The sequence below is a fragment of the Homo sapiens genome, chromosome 12, assembly GCF_000001405.40.
Source record: "Homo sapiens chromosome 12, GRCh38.p14 Primary Assembly".
Lineage (NCBI taxonomy): Eukaryota > Metazoa > Chordata > Mammalia > Primates > Hominidae > Homo > Homo sapiens.
The window spans coordinates 126391581-126403620 of record NC_000012.12 but is presented as its reverse complement, the minus strand read 5'-3'; the positions used below and the strand labels follow the sequence as shown (position 1 = coordinate 126403620).

Genomic DNA, 12040 nt, shown 5'->3' with positions numbered 1-12040 from the left:
AAGTATGCAAAATTTCAAAAATGTAAAATTAATTTCAAAGAATATTTGCCAGATACAGAAAGGTAAAATTTCAGCCTAACTATAGCATGCAAAAGCAATGAGTCACACAAGCTTTCTCTGATTCACTCCTGATGGAGTTTAAGGCATTGTTCTGTATTTTACAAAAATGTAAAATTAATTTCAAAGAACATTTGCCAGGTACAGAAATGTAGAATTTCAGCCCAACTATAACATGCAAAAGTAATGAGTCAGACAAGATTTCTCTGATTCACTCCTGATGGAGTTTAAGGCATTGTTCTGTATTTTACAAAAATGTAAAATTAATTTCAAAGAACATTTGCCAGGTACAGAAATGTAGAATTTCAGCCCAACTATAACATGCAAAAGTAATGAGTCAGACAAGATTTCTCTGATTCACTCCTGATGGAGTTTAAGGCATTGTTCTGTATTATAGACTTGCCTCTGTAGCCACCTGTTAATACCTTTTGTGCCTGCACTCTGCCATGTCCCAGTGAAAGCATTAGTCAGCATATAGCTGTTTCTGGCGCTCTTTCTCTCTAATATAGCCTTAGAAGCCACTTTAAAATTTTCTACGGGCCAAACCTTTATCTTCTAAATCTGACTCTTCCATTGAGACCAGTAATCCATTAGTCCATGGAGTCTGCATTGCTTTCAATCTGGACACTGCATTGTTATTTAGGATTCAATGCCTCCTGACTCCTACAGATGGCATTTTTTTTTTTTTTTTTTTTTGAGATGGAGTCTCGCTCTGTCACCCAGGCTGGAGTGCAGTAGTGTGATCTCAGCTCACTGCAACCTCTGCCTCCCAGGTTCAAGTGATTCTCCTGCCTCAGCCTTCCGAGTAGCTGGGATTACAGGTGCCTGCCACCACACCCAGCTAATTTTTTGTATTTTTATTAGAGACGGAGTTTCACCATGTAAGCCAGGATGGTCTTGATCCCCTGACCTTGTGATATGCCTGCCTCAGTCTCCCAAAGTTCTGGGATTACAGGCATGAGCCACCACGCCCCGCCCAGATGGCTAATTTAAGATGACCTTATGCTGACTAAACAAAAGGTGGGCCAGGCAGGCTGGATTGAGAGTAAAATGTTTAATAACTAAGGATATAAAGCAACCTTTCCCCCCAAAGTAATTGTCTTGTGGAAATTTTTTAAATCAACAAAATAATGGTATTTGCAGCAACCTGGATGGAGTTGGAGACCATTATTCTAAGTGAAGTAACTCAGGAATGGAAGACCAAATATTGTGTGTTCTCACTCTTAAGTAGCATCTAAGCTATGAGGATGCAAAGGTGTAAGAATGATACAATGGACTTTGGGAACTTGGGGAAAGGGTGGGGGGAGGTGAGAGATAAAGGACTACACATTCTAGCCAGTGTTCACTGCTCAGGTGATGGGTGTACCAAAATCTCAGCAATCACCACTAAAGAACTTATCCATGTAACCAAACACCACCTGTTCCCCAAAAACTATTGAAATAAAAATTATGATAATGTTTTTGAAAAGACAAGTTTAAATCTCTCACTCACCCTTTCTCTCCCACTCCCTCCTCTCTCTCTATTTCTGGAGGGATGGGAATCAAATAAGCAGTTGGCTGCAGTTTATATTAATTAAATGTTTGGTTTATTGTAAAAGTTTTTAATCTTTATTTTTAAATCATGATAACTTATAAACAAACTTGTCGATATTTGAGTAGTCATAGTTTGACTTTTCCATGTCCATATTCTCTTATGCTTTTTATGTAAAACATTAAAATTAGAAATGTAAAAGTCTACCAAGAGGGTAAAGAGCAGAAAAAATCTTTTTTATTAACAGAATATATATCTAAGTAGAGAACTTGTGGAAATTATGCACATGGACAAATTCCAATTTCACACTGTAGGCTTCCGTAATTTTATTTTTCAGGACATGAGTTATCAGAATTCTTTCTCCTGAAAGAAAGTGGAGATCAAAGGTAAAACTTCTAGAGAATGAGATGAAGGCAGATGAAAGAAGTTAACAAGACATTACATGACTTGATAATATTGCATGTATGCAAAAACCTTATGAAATCAACTGTGTTCTAGCGACCACTTGTTTTTCTTTTTGTCATAATACTTTTTATTCTCTTGCAATGATATTGATTCATCTGCACCTGACATCAACTCTGCATTTGTAGAAGGTGATAAGAATACAGGGAAATGGAATAAGTGGCTTTGCCTGCAATCCCGCAGCAGCAGAAATGTCCATTTCCTCTCTCCTGAATAATACTACATTCTCCACTGGGTTCCACAAGTTTCGAGGTAAAAGCATGAACATACACGAAGTCACCATCACTACCCTCACCACCACCACCATTATTTCCACCATATTCACCCTTTTAATACGCAAACTTCCTCCAAGGCTTCCTGAAGTCACCCAGAAATGCATTTCCCCAAGAGTGAGTTGTGCTAACATTGTATCCTATGGAACTCTGGGAAGCTACCCAGATCCTCAACTCTTGGAGTCTTGCTGACTGCATGTTCCAGGCTCCACATTTAAGCTCCAGTGACTGCTGATGACTGCATGACCTAACACATGTCCTCAATCCTTTCTTGGCCTCAGTTTCTTCACCAGTGAATTCTGAATGCTGGAATTGGCAATATTTCAGGTTCTTTCCAACTGGAAATACCCATGCTAATAATTTTAGTAAGTCAATAGCCATAGAAACCTACTGACAAAATGAGTATTTTAACAGAGACAGTTGTACTTTCTTAATTTTTAGCAGAAGGGAATGCATATGTATAATATCTATGTTGCCTTCTATGTGTAAAAATAAATACACAGACACAGATGTCTTGTTTTTTGTAAGTTCAGAGACCATTATTCATTCAGTCGTTCATTCCACAAATATTTATTGTGTATGTCAGTCAGGTTCTCCTGCATAATAGACTGTTTGCAAACAAAGTAGCTTTAAATAGAATTATTTGATTGCTCACAATTTTGTAGGTTGGGAATTTGGTCTAGCTTCAGCTGAGATGGGTTCACTCACGTGTTTACAGTAACTGGGGGTTCAGCAGTGTAGTTATGTGTCAGGCAGTGGGTGCCGGCTCTGGGCAGAGGTGATAGGGGATCACAGGGCATGTGTCCTTCACCCAACAGGCTAGCTGAAGCCTGTTCAGGGGTGACCATTACAGGCTTCCCAAGAGCAGCAAGAGAGGACAGGCTTCAAAAAGGAAGCACTTTTTTAACCCCATTTAAGTGATATTTACTAAATTACTATTGATTAAAGCAATTCCCCGTTCCAACTTCAGATTGGAGATGTGAAAGAATAGATTTCCTCTTTGGTTAGAAGGAAGGGGAAAATCATTTGCAAAGGAGTGTGACTAAGTGAGGGTAAAATTTTGTGGCCACTTTTGAAGCCTAACTCCATGGGTTTCTACTCTATGCCCAGCAATGGGTGATTTGATAACAAAGCATCCCGCCCCAACAAAACAAAGTAACAGCAGACTGGACCAGTTTTTGTTGTTGGTGGTAGTGGTTTTTTGTTTGTTTGTTTGTTTTTGTTTATTTTTTTGCTGTTGGTGCTTTGGTTTTACATTTCATTGTAATAGAAACTTTTTTAACAGTGGTTTTAGGCTCACAGCAAAATTTAGATGAAGGTACAGAGATTTCTTTAATACTCCCTGCCCCCACACATGCACAGCCTCCCCCACTATCAACATCCACACCAGGGTGGTACGCTTGTTACAATGAATGAACCTGTAGTAAGAGATCACTGTCACCCAAAGTCCACAGTTTATATATTAGGGTTCACTCTTGGTGTTGTACATTCTAGGTTGGGACAAATGTAGAGTGCCATGTCTATAGCATGATAGTGCCACACATTATGGTTTCACTGGCCTAAACACCCTCTGTGCTCTCCCAACCAAGTCGATCACTTTTTAGGGTAAGAATGGTCAAGGCGGGGATCTCTAAGGAAGAAACACTTAAGCTGAGACTAGAAAGATGAATAGGGGTTAGCCAGGTGAAAGAAGTTAGACAGGACAGAGGATTGAAGGGTTCTCCAAGCAAAGAGAAGGGCATGTTGCGGGGTATGGGTTAGGTAAAAGCCTGATGTGTTTAAGGAAGAGGAGAAAGGCCAGTGTGGTGGGTGAGGGATGAGGGGCAGAAGGTGGGCATGTGGCTGGAAAGGTGGGCAGGGCTGGTGCACAGAGTGAAGGTGATGGAGACCACTAAAAGATTTTAAGCTGGGAGCTTCAGGGTCTGCGTGGTTCTTTCTAAGAGGCCTCTGGAATGAATAGGAAGGGACAAAAGTCAGAGCAGATAGACTGGCCCACTTTCAGATGCTGTTCTTTCCCTTCTTGCTCATGTTCCTCCATGGTTGACCCTCCAGAACATCAGCTATGTTGAGTCCTCCACCTCCTATGAGCAGCAGGCATGGAACACAGACTCCGTGACCCTCAAGAGGCCTAGAGGGAAGTGGCTCTGATGTGACCTGCCCAGGTGAGTGGTGCTCGAGGCAGGGCATTCCACTCTCAGAGGCAACAGAGGCAGATCTGCTTCTTCTGGGGCCTCTGCAGGGTTAGGGGCTGACAGAGTGGGAGCATCGCCATCTTGGACAAGCCCCTCATTCTAAAGTTCACCTTAATAAAAAAACACCTAAATCCAAAAGGCATCAGCCTAATGGCTACGGTCAGCATGACCATAAACCACAAATAACATCTCTGACCAGAAACATTCCAAATGCCCCCCGCAAACAAAGACATGCTAGCCCCAAGATAAGTCCTCTCTGACCAGGAAGATGCCAGCCCCAAAATAAGCCCCCTCCTGCCAGAAAGATGTCTGCCCTAGACAAACTCGCCTCCTCCCAGAGACATTTCAACTCTGCCATAAAACTTCTCCCTTGCACAGGAACATTCCAAGCTTGTAATAAGCCCCTCATCCTAAAACCAATATGTAGTCTGTAAGACAAAGCACTCCTGACTGAAATCAGCCAGAGGCCCCTCTCAGGTTTTATCTAAAGTAAACCTGTCTTTAACTGCCAGGCCGCGTTTCATGTTAATTTCATTTTTCTTTAACTCTTACAGGGGCTTCCTCTGCCTTAAAGACAGGTGGAGATGGGGGACCCTGGGCTTTCAGGAAGCAGTTTAACTGCTCTAAACAGGCTTCAATTGTAATGCCCAGGAGATTTCCTTCATTTTGTGGCAAAGGAGGTAGTAGAATCTCAACACTAAATCCTCGAAGATATATATTACTTTGCAGGGGTAGCAAACAGCATGCCCAGGTTTTAAAGAACAAAAGTATTCATTTTTGTTGCTATTGTTTGTTTTCTTTAAGAAAAATGGGAAACTCTATGCACGTACAGTGACACAAACATAAACATAAGGTTCGTGTTTCCAGGACTCTAAGCACAGTGGTCTGGCCAGCTTGAAGTCACCCCAGCACTTAGCCCCATGTGTGAATCGCAGACCTAAAGGGTGCTGCCCCCCCTGCACCACCATCCCAGCCTCACCCCATCTCCCTTCTACACCCAAGCACAAATCCATGAGAACATGGGCATGTGGCCAGAGATGCAGTCCTTATCATCTTCAGCCAACAGGACTCTGAAAAGCATCTTAAATTAAGTGATTTATTAATACACCAAATAAGTAAAGGACCTGAAAGAAGCTTCTAATTAGAATGGTAAAATAATGTATTATCCACATTAGGGCATTTCTAAGAGTGACAGGAGAATGCTATAATTAGCGGGCACAATAGGCATAAACAGAGCCTGCATCACATGTGGGTGATAGATGAACAATTCAGTTACCTAGTGACAGATATTTTTGTTTACAAGAATGATTTCATGCTCATTTAAATGGTGCTATATTGCACTGGATATTGCCTCTAATTTTCAAAATCATTTTTCTTAATTTAGAGACATAAGTATTAATAATATGGAAAAAACAAATGTTGCATTGATAATGAAAATAAAAAGTAATACAAATCACATAGAAGCATGAAATTATTTGCAGAAAATAAATTTTTCCCCACGAAGTAGCTTTTCTGGCCATTTAAGAAAGCAGAGTTGACAGGAAAGTCACATGGGAGCCAGGGCTTAGAACGTTTGCAGCTGCTTCTTTTGTTCTGTGATGCATCATCTTTCATGTTTGACTTCCTCCTTGCTTGCAATTTCACAGTTTGAAAAAAGCTTTTTCAATAACTGGGATGAGTTGTACTTAGCTGGTTTCCTAAATTACATCATTTTTGAATGGGGGAGTATGGCCTAGTGGTAGCCACTCTGAGAGTGTGTGAAAATGACTGGGTAAGGAGGGGGAGTTCTTACACAATGAAACCCTATTAATTCATTTCCAAACTCTCTGCATTCTACTGGACCACGTCTTGGAGATCTGTCTCTCAACTCTGCCCAAGCAATCATGACACAACTATCCAGAAACAAAGGGTCATTATTTACCCAGATTTGTAATCCAAACTTTTTTTTTTTTCTTTGAGACAGAGTCTCGCTCTTCGCCAAGGCTGGAGTGCAGTGGCTCGAAATCGGCTCACTGCAAGCTCCGCCTCCTGGGTTCACACCATTCTCCTGCCTCAGCCTCCTGAGTAGCTGGGACTACAGGCAGGCACCCACAACCACGCCTGGCTATTTTTTTTTTTTTTTTTTGTATTTTTAGTAGAGACGGGGTTTCACCATGTTAGCCAGGATGGTCTCGATCTCCTGACTTCGTGATCCCTCTGCCTCGGCCCCCAAAGTGCTGGAATTACAGGCGTGAGCCACTGCACCCGGCCTGTAAATCAAACCTTTAAGCACAATGATTCACTTTATTCCAATAATCACTGGTCTTGATTTGCATTTCCCTAAGGACTAAAGATATTGAACGTTATTCTGTGCTCATTGGCCATTTTGTTTGGAGAAACATCTGTTCAAGTCTTTTGCCCACTTTTTAATTGTGTTATTTGTCTTGTTGAGTAGTAACAATTTTTTGTTTGCCTTAAAATATATTTTTATGCTAAGATACAGAACCCAGACACCAAATGTCACAATATTTATGGTTCTATTTATATGAAACATCCAGAATAGGTAGATCTGTGGAGAAAAAAAGGCAGATTCCTAATTATCAGGGGCCATGGGGAGAGGTCATTAGGGAGTAGCTGCTTGTTGGAGAATGGCTATTATCAGGGTTTCCTTTTGGATGATGAATTTTTTTTTTTTTTGAGACAGAGTCTTGCTCTGTCATCCAGCCTGAAATGCAGTGGCATGATCTCAGCTCACTGCAACCTTTGCCTCCCAGGTTCAAGCAAGTCTTCTGCCTCAGCCTCCCAAGTATCTGAGATTACAGGTGCACATCACCACGCACAGCTAATTTTTGCATTTTTAGTAGAGACGGGGTTTCACCATTTTGGCCAGGCTGGTCTCAAACTCCTGACCTCAGGTGATTCACTCACCTCGGCCTCCCAAATTGCTGGGATTACAGGCGTGAGCCACCATGTCCAGCTGGGTGATAAAAATATTTTGGAACTAGATAGAGGTGGTAATTTTACAACACTGTGAATTTAGCAATTAAAAAAATTATTGACCCTGGATAATGTTGAATTAATGAGATGGAGATATTCCAAATAAAAGAATATCTGCAAGTATCACATATTAATGTTAAAAAATAAAATAATAATAATGTGTTGACCATGTATCTCTTGACCTGTGTCACTGTGTTTGCCATTACTATATGGTTGTGATGGGGATGGCCAGTGCCCTCCCTAAGTTAGTTGTAAAATCGTGAGGGATTTACGTTTCCCTGATTTCTTTGGTATCTGCATTTCAGATGTCATGTCTCTCCCATATCACATATCTAAAGGCCCAGGTTGTCCTCTTACCTTTGTTCTGCCCAAGATGAGAACCCAGGACCATGCGTATCCTAGTGGGATCCTACTCCAGTTGACATCAGTGGGGTAACACATCCTTTGTTGGTTCTCTTTCCTGTATCACTTTCCCACTTCTCCACTAGTGCTTTCTGGATTATCTTCCACATAAACCCTGAGAACTTGAAACCTTGTCTCGGGATCTATTTCTGAGTGACATCAAACTGAAACAAAATTCATCTCACACCTGGTGAAGTGGAGAGGTGCATCTTCCCACCACAATCTCATACTGGAGGGGAAATTACAGGACAGAGAAAATGCTCTTGAAATTAATGCCTTTTTAATGTCCAATTTTCAGGGCTCTTCCATTTCAATCCTTTGATACCCTCAAGATTTACTGCATTACCAGTGGTCAGCACCTCACTTTGGAAAGGGGGAGTACTTGCCATCCATCGTTTTCTGAGTCCTGAAAGAATCCGCACATAATATCTTGTTATAGATATCAAGAATAGTATAGCAAATGGTGGTGCACATAAGGTATAATTTGGAAATAAAACATTACGAATACTGCTCATGCCTCCTGGGCGCACTTCTCTAATTTTCTCCTCCTTTGCTTTCCTCTAATGCAACCATTGCCCTAAATTTTGTTTTAATCATCCTCAGGGCCTCCTTTAATAAGGAGTTTATTTGGCAAAAGAGCGTGAAGACATCATCTACAATACCATCTGTGATAATTCATAAAGTAGAGATTTCACATTTAGACTCACAGTTATCAGATCTAATGAGTACTAATGTTTCCAGTAGATACAATCTATTTCATTGTGTTTTACGTTACTAGGTCTAATACATCATTTGCCAATAAGAGCACTGAAAACTTAAGACTTTAAAAGAAAGTTCCATATTAAATCTGTCAGATATTTACTCTAACATAGAACTCCAGCGTCCACTTTTGTATTGCCTCCTTGCAAATAATTTGTTTTTCATAATTAATGTTTACTTAAAATATGACAAGGTGCTTGTTTCTGTCCATGGAAAGGTTCACTTGAATACAAAGCAAATATTATTTTATATAATTCTAGGTTGTGATCATGCTAATTTATTGCATTATTTTCTAGTAAAATATTATTATTGGCAGCACATTTCATAGGGGAAAAGAACTAAAGATATTTTATGGCGGCAGTCAGTGTTTAGAGAAGTAATTGAAATGTGTAATGAAGTCAAAGAAAGCTACAAGGATAATTCACAATCCTTCATTCAGCAAAAATATCAGCTTATGTTCAGTGGTGGTTATTGGCATGTAACTTGCAAAAAATAATGTTTCGGGAGAAATCATACACTTATTTTGTAAATACAGGCAGGTAAATTGGAAGCTCTGTGATATATCTAAGTTCATACTTTTTGGGTGTGCCTTGAAAACAAATGGAATGCATTGACTTCTATTCTTTCTTCCTAACTCAGCCAGGAGTCTGCGTGGTAAGGGATCACATGGGGATATGTCTCATGCTGGAGAAGGTGGCACCTTTCATTCTATGTACGGACATTGAACATCTTCGAAGGGAAGTGGAAACATCTTCAAAGTACCTACGTATCAAAGAAAAAGCATTTACTTAAACCTCAGAGAAAGTAGCAAACACTTCATTTAGAAAATACCTGACACTAAAACTAATATTCCACCTTAGAAGATAGAACATTTGCCTTCTAATATTTTGTTTAGAGAAACACTGAACAGGAACTGAGATCTATAGAGTTTCAGGAGAAATTGCTTTAACGCTTCAATCGCTACATCAAACAGTGTTTCATGTTCAGAAGCTAAGATATACACTCTGACCAATTAATGTTTTAAACCTGAAAAACACCATCCTTTTAAAAACACATAAAAACAATATCACCATTCAGCAGTCAATTTTTGAACTATGTGTCAAACCTGCTGTGGGCAATATTTTATTTATTTTGAAATAGCATCCAAATAGGAGGCACAGCCCCATCTCTGATTAAAATGGAGCGCACTAAATGTTTTGATTCCTGAAGTGAAAGATATTAAAGGGCTCAATGGAATAACTGTGTGGCTGAGACCAGCACTATCTGTCAAGTCTGAGGGTTATCTTGAGCTGTGTCCCTGGGCGGGTGTCTGCCGGCCATCTCTGAGCCACAGGGCTGGGCAGCTCCACCTCCACCTGCCACTTGGATTGTGGGATCTTCAGGACACTGCTGCTGAACTGGGGATATGGGTGTGGCCACTCTGCCTGCCCAGTGACCTCTCCCTGTCGGCTGCTGCTCGATGACCTGTGCAGGCAGAGGGCCCCTTTCTTCCCCAGCATCCTCTCTACCTGATGGAGGGGTTGGGGTTCCTTCATCTCATGATGGAGAAGAAAAGTTTTGCTCAAGGGAAGATGAGGCTGCTGGGGATCTGGGCTTCTGTGCATGGACTCTCCTGTGCTTGTAGGTGGTTACACATCTGCAATTATATTTGGACGAACAAATGCTGAACATGTCCAGTTTCACTGCACTTCCCCAGCACCAACGTCCCCATCATTTACATGCAATTTCCGTCCCAGCATCAGCAGCTTACTCATGGATCAGGCCATCAGAGGTGGGTGAAGGCCCAGATGATTCTATTTCTTGACCTGATAAGCTGGGTTTTTTTTTAATGGCGAAATGCTAATATAGGATTACAGAAACTGTCGTGTATTTCAAATGCTTACAATCTCTAAATTAATACTTTAAATAGATGAATGTATGTGTACGTACTTGTGCTAGCAACATGTAATTATACCCCTTAAGACACAGTGACTCGCAGTGCACTGCAGATTTTGTTGCCAGGTCCTATGTGTGTGTTTTAAGGTTGGTTTATGGCTGCCAGCTGTCTTTTTTCCATCCTTCTGGGGACACGGTCTCCCTGGCAGATAATGCTGTGAGTCGTCTTCAAGATCCTTCTTGAATGACAGACGCCACTTCAAGTGGCCCTCCTGGCGCCTACCCACAGTTTCTGCTCTGGGGAATGGACTGTTCTAATTCTCTCTACCCTGGTGAGGAGCACAGCTTCAGAGTCAGAGGGAACTGGATTTCATTCTGGCAGCTGCTGCATACTAGTTGTACGACCTCAGACAAATCAACTTTTCTTTTTTTCTCATTTGTAAAATAGGTATAACAATAACCTAGGCTTCTGTGCATGAACTCTTCTGTGTTTGTAGCTGTTTATACATCCAGGCATACATCGCATTTATTCAGTCCAATAACTATTAAAATAGATGTATAATAACTACATCTATTTTTAATAGTAATAATTAATAATTATTGCTGGACGGAATAATTGCTGGATGGAATAAATTAGATAATGCATATTAAACAATTAGCACAATACCTGGTACTTAATTGTTCCTCAATTATTATTATATTATTAAAAATTAGCACGTTAATAATATTCAAATAATAATATTTCTAATTGCTCTATTATTCTAAGTACATGTTATAAGTATTTTACATTTATATACTATATATTTGCAAGTGTTCATTTATATATACACACATTATGTATTTATAAAATATATATATATATATAAACATACAAATGTACTACGACTTTCTGAAGATCAAGAACTAATCTACCAAAATTCTCAGTAGAGTACTATGCATGAAGTTAGAGTTTGGAGAGTATTTGTATCAAGGACTTGGTTAATTTAAGAAAAGAACATGGATACTCTTTTTCTAAAGTATAAATCCTGCTTTAAAAATAATTAGTTGGTTCAATACAATAAAGATGATATCTATATATTTTCAGCATATTCTCACTTCAAATTAAAGGTAAAGATTCATTATAATCAACTGAAGGATAAAAATAAATATTAGGCCAGGCTTGGTGGCTCACGCCTGTAATCCCAGCACTTTGGGAGGCTGAGGCAGGTGAATTGTTTGAAGTCAGAAGTTTAAGACCAGCCTGGCCAACATGGCAAAACCCTGTCTCTACTAAAAATACAAAAATTAGCTAGGCAAGATGGCTCATGCCTGTAATTCCAGATACTCAGGAGGCTGAGGCGGGAAAATCACTTGAACCCAGGAGGCGGAGGTTGCAGTGAGCTGAGATTGTGCCACTGCACTCCAGCCCGGGTGACAGAGGAAGACTTCATCTAAAAATAAAAATAAAATCAATTATGAAAATATAATGCCAGAAGGCTTTTCTTTTTCTTTTTGTAGGGATCTGAAGCCAATTC

The 12040-nt window shown here is 40.1% G+C and overlaps 2 long non-coding RNA genes across 2 annotated transcripts in view; one reads left to right on the top strand and one right to left on the bottom strand.

Moving 5' to 3' along the window:
- The window catches only part of LINC02825 (long intergenic non-protein coding RNA 2825), a 48536-nt gene extending 45707 nt beyond the window's left edge, over nt 1-2829 (top strand). The window contains exon 4 of the long non-coding RNA NR_147498.1: nt 1926-2829. This is a non-coding gene — a long non-coding RNA (long intergenic non-protein coding RNA 2825). The remainder of the gene's footprint in view (nt 1-1925) is intronic.
- Nucleotides 2830-7554: 4725 nt separating this feature from the next.
- On the bottom strand, nt 7555-10878 carry LOC107984448 (uncharacterized). Its single transcript, XR_001749384.1, has 3 exons — nt 10160-10878; nt 9228-9413; nt 7555-8298 (listed from the first exon to the last, which is right to left on the bottom strand). It is a non-coding gene; the product is annotated as an uncharacterized LOC107984448 (long non-coding RNA).
- Between the last annotated feature and the right edge of the window lie 1162 nt (nt 10879-12040).